Raw genomic sequence first — 17,049 nt, 5'->3', positions numbered from 1 at the left:
TGGGGCCAGGCACAGTGTCTCATGCCTGTAATCTCAGCACTTCAGGAGGCCGAGGAGGGCGGATCACCTGAGGTCAGGAGTTCAAGACCAGCTTGGCCAACATGGTGAAACTGCATCTCTACTAAAACTACAAAAATTAGCTGGGCGCGGTGGTGGGTGCCTATAATCCCAGCTACATGGGAGGCTGAAGCAGAAGAATCACTTGAGCCCGGGAGGCGGAGGTTGCAGTGAGCCAAGATTGCATCACTGTACTCCAGCCTGGGTGACAAAGTGAGACTCTGTCTCAAAAAAAAAAAAAAAAGACTATAATAGCAGTGGCTCATTGCAAAGACATTGAAATAGAAGTATACACATCCCCCCACCCCCACTCCATTGCCCAGGTATAACCACTGTGAGCAGGTAGTTTTCTATGTCCCTCTGCACTACAAGGTTCCCTGGGTCAGTCCAGAAGGTCATGAGCATAGTATAGGGGCCAGGAATGCGGGCCTGGTTAGACACAAGGTATGTCACAGACTGGAACTAAATGACATGGAACCATGTGATGGACAATCAGTCCCTTTCAAATTCCCTGAGCTTCTCCAGACCTAAGGAGAAAGACTTCCTCTGGGGATAAGATGTCTTTAACATCTCTCTGATGCATTTGGGAGAAAGAGAGGGAGAAGACCCCCTTAGGCTCCAAGAGGTGACCAGATGTCCCTAGAATTTAATGGTACTATTCGTTTTCATTGTTTATTTTTATTTTTTAAAGTAGTTTATTTTCACAGAAATACAAACAGTAAACAAAAAATATACTTTATATAAGTAATATATTTAAATATATTTTAATAAATGAAATAATACAAAAACCATCCAATGCATCATCAGTTTATTTTTGGAGTTACATTCGATTTATGCCAGTTTACAGTTATTTCTCCATTTATAGTGATGATGTAATAACAGTTATAATATTGCCACAGATCCACCCAAACATGGTGATTCCTACCTTCTTCTTCTTGCCCTTGCCCCCACATGTGCCTGGTAACATGGCCGCCCCCACATATCCCCACCTGTGTAGAACATCATGGCGCCCTGCATTTGCATATTAAAAAGCTAGGGTAGTAGGGCCAGTTTTTTCGTGGGCTACATGAGTGACATGCCTGGTCAAACCAATCCCTTGAGCCCTATGCAAATCAGACACCATCTCCTCCAACCTCCTCGTAGAAGCAGCCACTTTTCTGCAGCACACGGGGTTTTCTCTTTGTTAGAATCCTCCTCCCTCTGTCTCCATACAGGGGAACTGTTTTCTTCTTCCTTCTTTCTTTCTTGCCTATTAAACTTTCTGCTCCTTAAAACCACACACACACACACACACACACAGACACACACACACACACACACACACCATAATAATAATAATAATAATAATATGACCACAGAAATTGTAGTGATGGCTCTTACTTAATGAGCACCTACTAAATTCTAGTCCTGTGCAGAGAATTCGCATGTATTACCTCAATACACCCAATCTTGATCAACTCCTTAAGGTGGGTGTAATTACAGTCTCCATTTTACAGATGAGGAAACTGAGGCACAACGAGTTAAATCTGACTTGCCAGGTACACACAACCAGTAAGTGACAGAACCAGAGTTTGAACCCGGGCAGTCTGGCTGCACTTGCATAACCACTGTGATGATACAGAGTCTCATTGAAAAACACAATTATGTAAGTTTTGAAAAAGTGAGTGGATTTGAAGAAAAATAGTAAGTGCTAATAGTATGCATGGTATGAGGAGATGCTAAACATCATAAAAGTCATCATGAATGATTAAATTTCCAAAACCAAAACAAATCAAGCTTAGCCCAGCTCAATATGCTTTCTTTACACAAGGAAAGAGGCCCAGAGAGGGAAAGGACCTACTCAAGGCTGCACAGAGAGGCTGGAGCCAACGTCTCAACAGAGAGGCCAGAGCCCAAGTCTCAGGAGAGAGGAGGGAGGGAGTGGGGAGGGCACCTGGCAGGGGAAGGGACTGCTCCCAGGATTGCATGGGGTGGGAAATGTCAGAGTTTGACCATGATTGGTGGGGGTTGGGGGGGGATTAGAAGAGGACACCGGGCCAGATGAGACCTTCCCTGTTCTGCCAAGTTGAAGGCCCCTCCCTCCACCTCAGTGTAAAACCTCCTGGGTACATGTGATTTCAGCACCAGATGCCTGTCGGTCCATCATCCTCTCTGAGCTCACTGCCACGGCAGTGCCCGGACCCTGTTTCCATCACAATGGGCTGTGGACACTCATTCATTCACTCATTCATTCTACAAATAGTGATGGCGGTCCCCTGCGCCCAGCACTGTGTGGGCTACGGGTGGGAGGGAGCCTCAGTCCTCTGTAAAAGCCTCCTGGCATTGGAATCTTGCTGGCATTGAGAAATGCCACCCTCCTCCTCCTCAGAGTTCCTATTGTATTTCTCTTTCTTCAGGGGCCTCATTTACTAAAATGATTTTTCCCTCCTTAAGTAAGCTCCCTTTGAGTGGGGTCCTTATTTATTCTCATCTCCCTTTGCCCCCCTGGGCAACAGGTGGACCTGGAGCTTGCAACCAGGCTGGGGCAACCAGAAGGGCCCCCGTGAGGCTCATGACCTATGGGTCCTAAGACCATACCTGGGTGGAAACCTCTGGCCTAGTCCAACTTGTCTATTTGACAGAAAAATGGTGGTTCTGACCAGGCGTGGTGGTTCATGCCTCTAATCCCAGCATTTTGGGAAGGCGAGACGGGTGGCTAGCTTGAGCTCAGGAGTTCAAGACCAGCCTGGGCAACATGGTGAAACCCCATCTCTACCAAAAATACAAAAATTAGCTAGGCATGGTGGTGGGTGCCTGTGGTCCACAGCTACTCGGGAGGCTGAGGTGGAAGGATTGCTGGAGCCCAGGAAGTCAAGACTGCAGTGAGCCGAGATAGCACCACTGCACTCCAGTCTGGGCAACAGAGCAAGATCTTGTCTTTAAAAACAAACAAACAAACAAACAAACAAAAAGGCCAAGCACGGTGGCTCATCCCTGTAATTCCAGCTACTCGGGCTGAGGCAGGAGAATCGCTTCAACCCAGAAGGCGGAGGCTGCAGCAAGCAGAGATCGGAACACTGCACTCCAGCCTGGGCAACAGAGCAAGACTCTGTCTCAAAAATAATAATAATAATAATAATAATAATAATAAAGAGAAGACAAGAAAAGGAAAAGAAAAATTGTGATTCAGAGAGGGACATTTTGTTTCTTCTGCCATAAAATTTATGAAGCACCTGTTTGTGCCTGGTCCTGTGCAGACACCGAGGCCCCAAAGAGGAAAAGAAGCCAGTGCTTACTGTACCTGCCTCCTGTTGCCACCGTAGCAAATGATCATGCACTTTAGTTTCAAGCTACACAAGTATAGTACCTTGCAGGTAATAAAAGATCAGAGGCCTGACATGCATTTCACTGGGCCAAAAACAAAGTCTTGGCAGGGCTATTTCTCTTCTGGAGGCTCTAGGGGAGAATCCATTTGCTTGCCTTCTCCAGCTTCTAGGAGACGCCCGCATTCCTTGGCTCCCGCTCTATGTTCCAAGCCAGCAACATCACATCTCTCTGATCCTGCTTCCGTTGTCATATTTCCGCTATTTATTTATTATTTTATTTTATTTATTATTGCTCTGTCGCCTAGGCTGGAGTGCAGTGGCGCCATCTTGGCTCACTGAAACCTCCATCTCCCAGGTTCAAGCAATTCTCATGCCTTGGCCTCCCGAGTAGCTGGGATTACAGGCATGCATCACCACACCGGGCTACTTTTTTGTATTTTTAGTAAAGATGGGGTTTTGCTATGTTGGCCAGGCTGGCCTTGAACTCCTGACCTCAAGGGATCCACCCACCTCAGCCTCCCAAAGTGCTGGGATACAGGCATGAGCCACCACACCCAGCCTATTTACGATTTTTAATGTAATAAGAGATGGGATCTCACTATGTTGCCCAGGCTGGTCTCAAATTCCTAGCCTCAGGCGATCCTCCCACCTCAGCTTCCCAGAGTGCTGGGATTACAGGTGTGAGCCACCACCCCTGGCCCATAGTCACATTTCCTCTTACCCTTCCCTCTTCTGCATCCTCTTCCACCTGGTGATTACACTGGGCCCATTTGTCTAATCCAGGATGGTCTCCTTGTTTTAAAGTCAGCTGATTAGCAAACTTAATTCCATTGGTAGCCTTAACTCCCCTTTGTCTTGTAACAGCACGTTCACAGGTTCCAGAGATTAGGATGAGGGCGTCATTGGAGGTCATTCTACCCATTACACCTGCCTTTAGATGGGAACCGCTGTAATAGGGGTACTATAGGATCCCAGAAAAGGGGACACCTGATCTCCCTGGGGTAGTTGGGGGCACCCAAGAAAATCTCCTGGAGGAGTTGACAGCTGACCTGAGTCTTGAATGAGGAGTTGGCCAGGTGAGGAGGGGTGGAAGTGAAGGGCATTCCAGCAGGAAGCCACTGCATGTGCGGTGGCCTCGAGGTGAGCAAGGGAAGGCATGTGCCACTGTGGCCGAAGCATGGAGAGGGGTGGCGAGGCTGGAGGGGAGGCGGGGGCGGAGGGCAGCTGCCAGATCTCAGGGGAGCTGGATGCCTGGAGGCTGATGCTTCCTGAAGACGGTGGGAACCTTTGAGGAGTTTGGAGCAGAGACTGATGAGGTCTGGTTTGCATTTGAGAAAGGTCGCTCTGGGGTCCTGGTGGAAAATGGCTGGGGTGAGGCAGACGAGAATTTGGCAGCCAAAGAGAGGAGTCAGGTGATCCTGGGTCCTGGGCCCAGTTTTCCCTCTTCTGGACTCTGACTGCCAGGGGGACGGGCTGACTGCCTTCTGGATCCCTTCCTGGAAGAGGCGGTGAAGCCTGGATCAGGGCGGGGGCAGGGGACAGCGCGGAGCACCTGGCTGGAGAGCTGTTGGTGGAGGGGAAGTGGTGTGGGACACACTGAGGGCTGATTGTGGGTTGGGAGGCAGGAGGAGAAGCAGTGCTGTGAGCAGATTTCTGGCCTAGGAGCCTGACTGGGCGGTGGGGTCATCACCGAGGTAGGACTGGGGGAGGAGCAGGTTTGGGAAGTTGCCAGGTTGGGTCTGATATGTTGGCGGTTGGTGGCTGAGAGGCATCTAGGAGGTCCATGGGAGGCAGCTGGCTGTACAGTCTGCAGCCGTGGACTTGTATCAGTTATTGCTGTGTGAAAAATGACCCCAAAGCTCAGTGGCAAAACAGCAATCACTTATTCTCACTCTCCCATCTGCATGTGGAGTGGGGCTGTCTGGTCTGGGCTGGGCTTCCCTCGTGGCTCAGCTTCAGGCTGCAGGCCTGCAGGCCAGCCAGGCGGTCAGACTGGGGCAATGCCAAAATCCTCTTTCCCTTTGACCCTGACCTGAATGCCCACCCCCCACCCCTATTCCTCCACGTCTCCGTGGATCAGCAGATGACATTTGAGCAAAGACCTGCAAGAGGTGTGGGAATGAGGCTGTCTTGAGGAAGAGCATTCTAGGCAGAGGGAACAGCCAGTGCAAAGGCCCCGAGGTGAGATTGTGCCTAGTGTGTTTGAGGGACAGGAAAGAAGGCCAGTGTGGCTGGCAGTGATGAGTGAGGGGGGTGGGGTAGGAGAGGAGGTCAGAGAATTAGCAGGGGCCTTAGGCATATGGGGCCTGGAAGGTCACGGGAAGTGGTCTCTGCCCTTATTATCATTGCTATTATCACCCCCTCCTCCTGTCCCCCACAGGACCCTCCATCCCTCGACACAGCCATCCAGCATGCCCTGGCGGGCCTCTATCCTCCTTTCGAGGCCACAGCACCCACCGTCCTGGGTCAGGTGTTCCGTCTCCTGGACTCTGGCTTCCAGGGGGATGGGCTGAGCTTCCTTCTGGATTTCCTGATCCCTGCCAAGCGCCTGTGTGAGCAAGTGCGAGAAGCAGCCTGTGTAAGTCAAGAGGGAAACAGGGACAGGGAACAAGCTGTTCCAGAAAGTCATGGGGCTAGAGGCGGGCAGAGAAGGAGGTGGGCTGGCCTGTGTCTTGTTTCACGGGGAGCTGAGGGTGTGGGGGGACTTTCCAAGTATCATTGCTTGCCCAGGGGGAGACATCAGCCCCCCAGATCGAAGGGGATTTACCTTGTGACATCTATGAGTTCATTACATTGTACTGTCACCAGCAGAGAAGAAGGCCTGAGTAAAGGCATCCTTGGGGGCTCCCTGGTCTTGGGGAGCCTGCCCTGCGCCTGACATTGTGGGCACTGCCAAGTGCCTTTGGTGAAGTGAGGCAGCTTCAGTGGAAATAGCAGAGAAGGTCCTAGAGCTTCCCTGGAGCCCCTGAGGCATCAGGACTCTTGCTTTCTTCCCCTGTGACCTCTTCAAACTCAGATCTCAGGGAGGCCTCTGCCAAGGCAAAGTGGAGAGAAAAGTGTTTTAGCCAGACTCATTGGCTGCAAATGACAGAATCCTCACTCAAACCAGGGAAGGGTGGATCAGGCCTCAGGCCCAAGTTGATCCACTGATCAAATCCCTTGAAGATCCTTTCTGTCCCTAGTCTCTGCTTTGCGCTGCTTGTTGGCATTATTCTTCCAGGCTAAGTGTTCCCACAAGGCTGGAACCCAGGGAAGCTCAAGGATTTATATTCTATCCTAGAGAGGAAAATAAACTCTTTCCCATCCACTGCACATAGAAAAATCTCAAGGAAGGATCCTGATTGGCCAGGCTTGGGTCATATGCCCATTCCTGGACCAATCACTGTGGCCAGAGGAGTGGGGTACCAGGATTGGCCAAGCTTGAGTCACGTGTCTACCTCTATGGTCAGAGGGTGGAGCTGTTTTAAGAAAAGGATGAGAAGGCCGGCAGTGGTGGCTCATGCCTGTAATCCCAGTACTTTGGGAGGCCAAGGCAGGTGGATCATGACGTCAGGGGTTTGAGACCAGCCTGGCCAACATGGTGAAACCCCGTCTCTACTAAAAATACAAAAATTAGCCGGGCGTGGTGGCACATGCCTGTAGTCCCAGCTACTCAGGAGGCTGAGGCAAGAGAATCGCTTGGAGGCAGGAGAATCGCTTGAACCCAGGAGGCAGAGGTTGCAGTGAGCCAAGATCACGCCATTGCACTCCAGCCTGGGTGGCACAGTGAGACCCTGTCTCAAAAACAAAAAACAAAAAACAAAAAACAGAAAAGGATGAGAGAAGCCTGAGGAGACCAAGCCGTCAAATGCCCACCACAGGAACTTGCCATTCCCTTCATGGGTTTCCCTACTGTTCCCTGCTCTGTTGTTATTAACATCCACCCTCCTGCTACCTCAGCCTCAAGAATCACAAAGAGGTTCTAAGGTCCCATCAGCCTGTCCTGAGTTGCCCACTGCCTGTCAGGGACACAGCTCATCAGAAGCAACAAGGAAGGGTGGGGACTGTGTGCGTCATTCCAGTGGTAGAAATAAATTGAACGTGGCAGCTAAAAGTCCAGGGTTAGGAACCAGAAGGAAAGTGAGATAATCTATTTTACATGCTTAGCACAGAGCCTGGCTCATAGATCATAGCTCAATACATGGGAACTAGTATTGGAGAAGAAGGGAGCTTCTCATGGAAGCATTTGCAGCCACTTCCACATGACACTATTTCATGCAGATGCTCCCCCATCCTTATTTCTTCTCCCTGACAAGCTACACAATTGCCCACTTCCCTTATTTGGCCATTTAAACTTCATTTGCACTGGCCGCTTCCTCAAGGTAACAACATTTCCGCGTCTTTATTTTTCCTTGTAGGTGAGTTTAATCTAATTGTAATGATAGGCAAATATCTGTCAATCTCAGAGCAATGGGAAGTCATGTGTGATTAACAGGATGGCTTCTGGGTTCAGATGCCCCAGGTTCAAATCCAAGCTCATCACTGTGAACTTTGGAGATCCATGCCACCTCTCTGAGTTTCAGTTTCCTTATGTGTCAAGCAGAAACGTTAATAACACAGCACCTAACACATGGAGATGACAACACATGGAGATGACAACACATGGCTTAGCAAAGACTCTGGCATGCAGCAAGTGCCCAGTAGCTATTGGCTATCGCTATCCCACTTCCTTGTTTCTCCATCTGAAATAAGAGCATGGCAGCCTCAAAGTCTGCCTCTCCAGCCACCATCACCCAGAAGCAGCCACCTTCACATGAAGTCTGGTGGGGCTTGGGGACAGATACAGCTGACTTGAAATGTGAAGGCCTAGGTCCAAGTCCCTGATGCTTATCAGCTGTGTGGCTATGAGCCAAATGTTTCACCACACTGAGCCTCAGTTGCATCATCTGTAAAATGAAAATAATAATGCCTGGACTGCCTACATCAAACTGAGTTACTGTGAAAGTCAAGTGAGATGAGCAAAGCCATCATCACTCTGGTGCTTTGCTGTTTGCAAAAAATGGCTGGGCTGTTTTTTCTCATTCAATGAGAAGGTGAGAGAGAAAGCATGTTGCAAACCCAAGAGGGCTAAGTGAAAAGGGTCGAGAAAACCTACAGACTCATGAAGGTTTATGGATATTAAGCTTCTCTGAGGCAGCCCAATCTACAATATGACTGATATAAATGGGTTTATCAACATAAGGTATAACTATGGTCAGATCTCACTATTTCCGCAATCAATAATTCCAGGAAACACCTGTTTAATTAGCAGGAAATTCAGTCTCACTCTCTGTACATCTCCCCTACACACATCCAAATTATATAAGATTGTCTGGGACTTACTCAATCCACAGAACTCAGACTCTTTTTCCAAAAGCCAGTTAAAGACCTGTTGTCAGCCCAGTGGAGCTGTTGTTTCCGTTGTTGCCACATGGTGTCACTGTTGAACACTGGTCCCGCACAGCCCAGTGGACAGGCTCAACTGAGAGGGATCACTTGGGTCACAGCCTGTTCCAGAATGACCCTCTGTACCCACCTATACAGGGAATTTCTGGCAACTCCTGTTAAAAAAAAATTTCTTTTTAAAGTTTTGCTTCACCTTCGTGTTATTATCCATTAATGGGAAATAAATAAAAAATAAACAAATAAGCCTTCATTTATTTAATGAGAAATAAATAAACAAACAAATAAAAAATAAACATTCAGGCCCAGAATAACCTTTGGGTCAGGAAAAACTGGACAGCCATCTAGTAAGTTAGTGGCAGGGTCAGATTTCCTGACTTCTCATTCAATACTGTTTCTACTTCACCCTCATACACTATCCAAATTCAATAAGATGTTCAACACTTTATTATAAAATAGGCATTGTGTTAGATGATTTTGGCCAACTGTAGGCTGATGTAAGTGCTCTGTGCACTTTTAAGATAGGCTAGTCTAAATAAGCTATGATGTTCTGTAGATTAGGTACATTAAATGCATTTTTGACTTATGATAGTTTCAATTTATGATGGATTTACCAGGATATAACCCCACCATAAATTGAGGCCATCTGTATAATCTCACTTAATCCTCATACCAACCCAGTAATACTGACATGTATTATTATCCTATTTGCAGATAGGGAAATTGGGGCTCAAAGAAGTTAAGCAATTTGCACAAATTAGCAACATAGACGTTTGTCTAAACCACGTCTCCCTGGCTTTAAAATGGAGGGCTAAGACTTGAATTGGGTTGGGAAATGTTCTGGATAGATGCAGAGAGGAAGGGAGCATGAGCCAAGCAAGGGGACCACTTGGGAAAGCCGATTGCTAACTAGTGCATGGTGCTCTGAGCTTTCTCACTTGGGTCAGTAGGCTAGGATTTCCAAGGTCAGGGCCAGGACGAGGGTGGGGCAGGAGAGTCAACCTTTGCACAACCTTGACAGTGAGTGCCTCCTAAATGCTGCCTCATCCTAGTCCCTGACCTGTTCCAGATTCCACGTGGGAGAGGGAAAGGAGCAAATCCAAGGGTGGAGCCTTTCAGGGCCAGGTTCTCTGATGCCATCCCCTTCTCTCCACAGGCTCCCTACTCACACTGCCTCTTCTTACACGAGGGCTGGCCACTCTGTCTGAGGGATGAAGTTGTGGTCCACTTGGCACCCCTCAACCCTCTCTTATTGCGCCAGGGTGACTTCTACCTCCAAGTGGAGCCCCAGGAGGAGCAGTCTGTCTGCATCATGATCAAATGCCTCTCCCTGGACCTCTGCACAGTGGACAAGAAGCCTGTTCCAGAGCCAGCCTACCCTATACTTTTCACCCAAGAATGGCTGGAGGCCATCAACAGTGACTTTGAGGGAAATCCCCTACACAACTGCTTGGTAGCATCAGAAAATGGGATTGCCCCTGTGCCTTGGACCAAGATAACCAGCCCAGAGTTTGTGGATGACAGACCCCAAGTAGTGAATGCCCTCTGCCAAGCCTGGGGGCCCCTTCCATTAGAGGCACTGGATTTGAGCAGCCCTCAAGAGTTGCACCAGGCCAGCTCCCCAGACAACCAGGTGCTTCCTGCCCAGAGTTTGGCCAAGGGTAAGGGCAGGACATATGGGAGCAAGTATCCAGGACTCATCAAGGTGGAGCAAGCCCGGTGTGGGGAGGTGGCTTTCAGGATGGACGAGGTGGTCAGCCAGGACTTCGAGGGAGACTATGTGGCTCTCCTAGGCTTTTCCCAAGAGAGCAGAGGAGAGTCTCCCAGTAGGGAGGCAGGCACATCCAGTGGGTGTACTTCTGGGGCACTAGAGGAGATAGCTGGAACTAAGGAAACTCCCTTATTTCAAAAGATACTGCCTCTCTCAGAGGCCAATGAAGGACCTTCCTTGGGAAATCGGGCTTGCACAAAGCCAGAAAGCTCTGAGGAGAGGCCCTATAATTTGGGCTTCAGGAGAAAGGTCAATCTTAAAGCACCCACCCACAACTCAGAAAGGCCGCCCCAAGGCTCCTACATGAATGTCCTTGAGGACGCACTGGACTGTGCCTCTGGTCTCAGGGCAGGTGTCTCACAAGAGCCAGCTGCCTCCAAGATGCAGGGACCTCTAGGAAACCCAGAGAATATGGTGCAGCTCAGGCCTGGACCAAGACAAGCCTCCTCTCCCCGCCTGTCCCCAGCTTCTCCTGCAGCTGCAGCCTCTGAAACAAAGATAGAGGTGAAGACCAAAGAGAGAAATGGGAGACTTCCCAAGCCCATGCCCTGCCCTAGCAGAAACACCTCCTCCCCTGAGCCCCCCACTCCTGGGCTCAAATTCTCATTCTTGAGAGGGCAGAGGCAACCCTCTGTGACCCCGGAGAAAGCCTCACTCCAGCACAATGGGCCCTGGAAAGTCCTGTGTTCCCTCTACTCTCCTAAACCCAACCGAGCCAAATCTTTGGGGAAAGGTAAGATGCCCACATGCTCAGCTGTACAAGGAGGTTATTGTCTGGTTGAGATCACATTTTAGGTGGTTTTGGTTGTAAGTGATAGAGACCACCTGGGCTGGCTCAGCTTCAGGGGTTTAGTATACAGTGTGGCATGTTAAGGGGCTTGAAGTCTCATGTGTCTGGAATTGAGCAAGGCACTGTGACTGTGTTACAACTGCCTGAGTTCACACTCCACCTTTGCCATACACTGGCTGTGTGACGTTGGCCAAGTACTGAGTTTCTCTGAGTCCACGTTCTCCCTATCTGTGCAATGGGAATGTCACCTATTTCACAGTGTTATTTTGAGGGTTCAAAGCGACACCAGAAGCTAGGTGTAGAGGCTTATCCTGTAATCCCAGTGCTTTGGTGGCTGAAGCGGGAGAATTTGGGTGGCTTGAGGCCAGGAATTTACAAGAAAGAAAGAAAAGAAGGAAAAAAGGAAGGAAGGAAGACGGAAGGAAGGAAGGAAGGAAGGAAAGAAGGAAGGAATAAATAAAAAAGCTGGGCTTCGTGGTGCATGCCTTTAGCCCCAGCTACTCGGGAGGCTGAGGTGGGAGGATCTTTCAAGCCCAGGAGTTCAAAGCTGCAGTGAGCTATGTTCATGCCACTGCATTCCAGCCTGGGCAACAGAGTGAGACTCTGTCACTAAAGAAAAAAAAGTGAGGTGTGGGGAGGGGTAACACTAGAAGTAAGGGGCTTAGCGCAATGCCTGGCACATGGGAGAGATCAATAGTTGTAAGCTATTATTAGTCAGAAAGAGAAAGAGGAGACGTTTTCCCCTTAGAAAGCCCATCTTCTGCTTAACGTCCTTTTCTTTGTTGTTGCTTTTTCCCAGCTGGAACAACTCAGACCAAAACATCTGGCCCAGCCACTGCCCCCAGCCCACTGACTGAGGAAAAGGCTGCCTTGCCAGAAGCTTCTGCAGGCTCCCCAGAAAGAGGCCCCACCCTGGAGGAGGAGCCCCCAGGGCCTGAGCCCAGGATTGGGGCTCTAGGTGTCAAGGTTTTCCGCTCCAGGATAGCATGCCTGCCAGGTTCCAGGGGATTCAAGCAGGAGGTGGTAGGGAGGGAGCTGGGGGCCCCAGAGCATCTTCAGCTGCTGTTGGGTGGAGGGGAGGCAGGGAATGCCCTGGAGGCCTAGGTTCTAGACCAAGCCTCCTTGGGCCTCAGTTTCCTCATCTTTCCCATGGGAGAATTGGAATAGATGAAAGCAATTTGTTGGTATCCATCCACCCATCTATCTGTCTGTCCATCTGTCTACTTGTCCATCCATCAGTGAAGCAGCCAAGGTGGATACTGGGTTCCCCAGAAGCAGAGCCTGAGACATAGATTTTTGGGAAAGTGACCTATTGGAGGAGGGCTCTGAGGAGAAGGACAGAGGGTCAAGGCAGGGGAAGGAGCCAAGCAAGGCTGTGGGCTGACCCCAAGGAGAGCACTGGGGCATGACCCGCCCCACAGAGCTGGCTCCAGCTGAAGGTGTAGGGGACTGGCCTTTTATAAGCCTTGTCTGTCAGTCATTAACTGTGGGCTGATCCCCAGTCTGTCCGTCATTAATGAACTGCAGGAACTTCGGGCTGATCCTGGAATGGGGTGGGGCAGGGGGAGCCAGTGATCCAGTTCAGCCCAGAGTGCTTCTTCAGAGAGGGGGCATCTGTGAGCCACTGACAACTGATACTTTCAGACTCTGGGGATGGGTTCTCTGCCTGCTGAGGGGATCTGGGTTTGGGGTACTAGCAGCATCCAATACAGAAGGTCTTATCACTCGTATTTAATATTTCCCCATTGTTGTAACAGACATTTACTGGTTCCTGGGCTTAGCACTGGCGATTCATAAGAGAACAAGTCTGATGTGTTCTCTGCTATCAGGAAACCTATATTCTAGTGGTGGGGAAAAGCCAACAGGTTATCACAACAGATTATTGAAACCCAGTGTAAACAAAGTGTGACAGTTGGGAAGGACAGGGGGCTGTGGGAGCACAGATGAGTCCCCTGGTTCAGGCTTAGGGTAGTAGAGGTCAAGGATGACTTCCCGGAGGAAGTAACGTAAAGCCCAGTCCTATGGTATGAGTAGGAATTATCCAGGTGAAGAGTTGGGAACGGCGTTCCAGACAAAGGGAACAGCATGTGCAAAGGTCCAGAGACAAGAGAACCACAGTGCTTTCTGGAGACTGATTGTCCTGAAATACTATTTTACTTCACAGACTTCCATATCTCTTCAGGACCTTGAGCACTGCCCTGTCTTTTTGCAGCTCCCAGGAGACCTTATCTGTCATTTTCCTGGTCATCTTTGCTGAAGCTCCTGCTGTTTGTTCCATATTAATTGTACACAAAGGATCTCATGATCCTCTTAGGGCCATCATGGGCCAAGGGCTCAGATTTTGTCCATGGAAGGCTCTGCTATGGGAGGAAGGTGACCTTTGTTTTAGTTCTAACTCTATCATTAGCTCCCTGTGTGTCCTTGGAGAAGTCACTGCCCTCTCTGGGCCTCCTTGAGAGGAGGAGAATAGACAGATAGGACCTGGCTCACTGTCACTCTTCCCTCAGTTACTTTTGTTGTAATTCTTGGGGGTTGCAACATGCACTGTTAGCTCGCACATGCCTGATGTGTAGCATGTGTGCAAAAAGCATTTGCTGTGTGAATGAGCAACGTCCACATGCGTGCTCCTTCTGTCCGTTTTTTGTCCTGCTCTTCTCTAGTGATCTTGTCCTCATTCCCCACATGACTCCCCCCATCGCATCCCCCGTAACCAACTTCTCCCCGCCGGGTTTTCATGTTAAGGCTCCCTCTCCTTTATTACCACTGCTTCTCTTTCCAGGTCACCCACTGCCCCAAGTTTCATCATCTTCAGGCCTCCCAAAACCTTGAACCTATTGGTTCAACCACCTTTTCACTCCCCTTTTCCAGCATGTCTCCCCACCCTCCACCACATCCCTTCCCCATCATCATATCTTCCTCACTCTCCACCACATCCCTTCCCCATCATTATGTCTCCCCCACCTTCTGTCACATCCTCACATCCCTTCTTCCTAGCTTAGATTCCAGGCTCACATTGTAATCACTTCCTTTCAAACACTCACTCGCTTGCTTTCCTCTTCCACCTTCACACTTACCCAGATAAATCCCAACCTCCGTGAGATCCAACTCTCCACCTGCACCCTCAAGCTGAACGAAGCTGGAAAAATCCACACAATTGTGCAGGCTAATTGTGTTGAATTCCTGACCACTGACCTCTGGGGGTCCCAATGGTGCTAGTGGATCCTACTTCACCTCCAGAGTCCTGAATGACTCCCCCACAGTCCTGTGTGATGACTTCACACCTTCTCTCTCCTTTGACCTTCAACACCACCTTCCCCAACTTAAATCTCAGCTGATGACCTTCCTTCTGGTCTGAGTGAGTAAGCAGAAGCAATTGGAAGGAAGTCTATGAATTGCTTCTGCTTACTCAGTCAGACCAGAAGGAAGGTCATTCACCTACCTGCTGGCATCTGTACCCACAGGCTCAGCATTCTAGTATGGATGAATTGTCCATGTGCCTGAGGCTGACCCTGAACCCGTGCTCTGTTCCTCTTTACCTCCTCAAAGACATCCCTCCAGCAAGATTCTCTTCTCCTTCCTACAGGATCATCTTTCCTCTTTGGCTCTGGGCCATTCCCATCAGGATGAGAACACGCTGCAATATTGCCCAGCTTGAAATGAGCTATTCTAGGCCCCCGTGTTCCCACCCTCACCCTTTTACATTAAAACTCCACAAAGCAGTTGTCTGTGTTCCCTGTTTCCACACCTTCTCTCTTCCACTCACTCTAATCAGAATCCCTTCCCCACTGTGCCACTGAGACACGTCTTGTCAAGGTCGTCATTGCGTTCCATGTTTCTAGATCCAGGGGTCGATTCTCAGTCCTCATCACCCTAGGCCCTTCCGCAGCATTTGGCATGGATGGCCACTTCCTCCTGTTGAAAGGCTTTCTTCACTTGCCATTAGATCTTCAGTCACCCAGTCCTCCTCTCACCTCACTGGCCACAATTTTGCAGCCTCCTTTCCTGTCTCCTCATCTCCACAACCTGTAAATCCTGGAGGGCCCCCAAAGCCCAGTCCTTGGTCCCTTTCTCCTCTCCATCCACACTCACTTCCTAGGCGATCTCATCCTGGAGGTGGAATATTTTCTGTAAATGCTCTCTCCAGGCTGACAACCCCGACACTGATTTTTCCAGCCTGGGCCCTGGCCATGAACTCCAGACTTATCCATCCAGCTGTTTACTACTTGATGTCTCTGCGTGGAGGTCTCACAGACATCTCTAACTTAGCATGCCCAAATATGGACTCCTGACTTCACATCCCCTCACCCCACACTTCCCAACCTTCCAGTCTTTCCTCATGGCAGTAAAAGATGACCACATCATCCTTGATTGCTCTTTCTCTTACATCCCACATTCAATTTGTTAACTGTCAACTCTCCCATTAAATTGTATTCAGAATCTGTTGACTTCACCCCACCCAAGTCCAAACCAGCGTGGTCTCTTGCCTGCTGCAGTGGTCTCCTCGCTGGTGTCTCTGCGTCCACACCGGCCTCTGTTGGAGTTTCCTTATAGGGCAAACAGTCCCCAGAGCCTGTGCTTCAAGATCTAGATCTGCTCCAAGCCAGCCCTGTGAAGCAGGTCTCCCCGTAAAGTTTTCATAAAGATCTGTTCTCAGGAAAGAAACTGATCAACATGCAGGTGTGAATGTCTGCTCCCATGCTGGGGATGGGGTTTTGTTTAATAGGCACTGTGTTTCCCATTGTGGCCATAACAAGTTATTACAAATTAGTGACGTAAAACAACACAAATGTATTATCTGATCGCTCTGTATGTTAGAAGCTCAACATGGATCTCGCTAGGCTACATCCAGCTGTCTGCAGAGCTGCATTCTTTCCTGGAGGCTCTAAGGGAGACTCCATTTCCTTGCCTTTTCCAGCTTCTAGAGACCACTACTTTCCTTGGCTTGTGGCCCCTTCCTCCATCCTCAAAGCCAGCAATGTTGCATCTCCCTCACCCCCCATCCATCTTGGCACCTTGCTCCTACCAAAGCCAGGAAAAGTTCTCTGCTTTTAAGGATTCCTATGATTAGAGTGGATGATCCAGGATAATCTCCCCACCTCAAGGTCCTGCCCTTCATCACATCTGCAGTGTCCCTTTTGCCATGTAAGGTAACATATTCAAGGTTCTGGGGATTAGGGCATGGACATCTTTGGGGCCACAGGCACGAAGCCTTAGGAGAGGGCTTCCCTGTCTTTCCACTGGAAAATCCCTAATGCAGAAGAGAATGAACAGAGCCCCTGAGATTGAGACCTCACCCTGAGCTCTCAGTTGCTCCATATAGATCTTTGAAATCCTTTTTGCCTTTAAAATTTCTATACATTTTAAATATCCATAAATAGAATACATTCACACTCGTTTTGATATGAAAAAATGCTTTTAATTGCTTGCAAATTCAATTACTTACCATTCCTCCCTCCCCAAACTTGGAGTGACTCTTCATGCTGCTGGCAGATGCAACACATTTTTCAGCAACTTTGGGCAACCCCGACTTACCCACCACCCTCATTTTGCCATCCTCATTTTCACCTGAGGCTCACAATATCTGTGAACAGCACAGCTTCAAGCCACGGTTCTGAGATGCTAATGATGGTATTTCTGGCGCCAGCTGGTAGGTGAGGATAACATTTGGGGCAAAAGGGTCTCCTTGGCCCAGCTGAAGACAAATC

At 49.3% G+C, this 17,049-nt stretch overlaps 1 protein-coding gene across 17 annotated transcripts in view, besides 1 other annotated feature; it reads left to right on the top strand.

The window, feature by feature from the left end:
• The window catches only part of KIAA1755, a 50,233-nt gene that overhangs the window by 8,867 nt on the left and 24,317 nt on the right, over window positions 1–17,049 (top strand). For 12 of the 17 annotated variants that reach the window (XM_024452010.2, XM_024452009.2, NM_001029864.2 and 9 more), the window contains exons 2-4: window positions 5,743–5,940; window positions 9,940–11,287; window positions 12,144–12,341. In XM_024452010.2, the coding sequence (XP_024307778.1) occupies window positions 5,743–5,940; window positions 9,940–11,287; window positions 12,144–12,341 (1,744 nt within the window). The remainder of the gene's footprint in view (window positions 1–5,742; window positions 5,941–9,939; window positions 11,288–12,143; window positions 12,342–17,049) is intronic. The other 5 variants (NM_001348708.2, XM_024452012.2, XM_024452008.2 and 2 more) reach the window with 4 other exon arrangements.
• Window positions 4,927–5,427: an enhancer, noted in NCBI's record as "H3K4me1 hESC enhancer chr20:36874844-36875344 (GRCh37/hg19 assembly coordinates)". NCBI's record gives its function as "activates a minimal SCP1, AML or CMV promoter by ChIP-STARR-seq in primed H9 embryonic stem cells {active_cell/tissue: H9 hESC(primed)}" and the evidence as "EXISTENCE:reporter gene assay evidence [ECO:0000049][PMID:30033119]".

The sequence above is a fragment of the Homo sapiens genome, chromosome 20 (assembly GCF_000001405.40).
Source record: "Homo sapiens chromosome 20, GRCh38.p14 Primary Assembly".
NCBI lineage: Eukaryota > Metazoa > Chordata > Mammalia > Primates > Hominidae > Homo > Homo sapiens.
The sequence above is the reverse complement of the archived record's forward strand: the minus strand, read 5'-3'. Positions and strand labels throughout refer to the sequence as shown.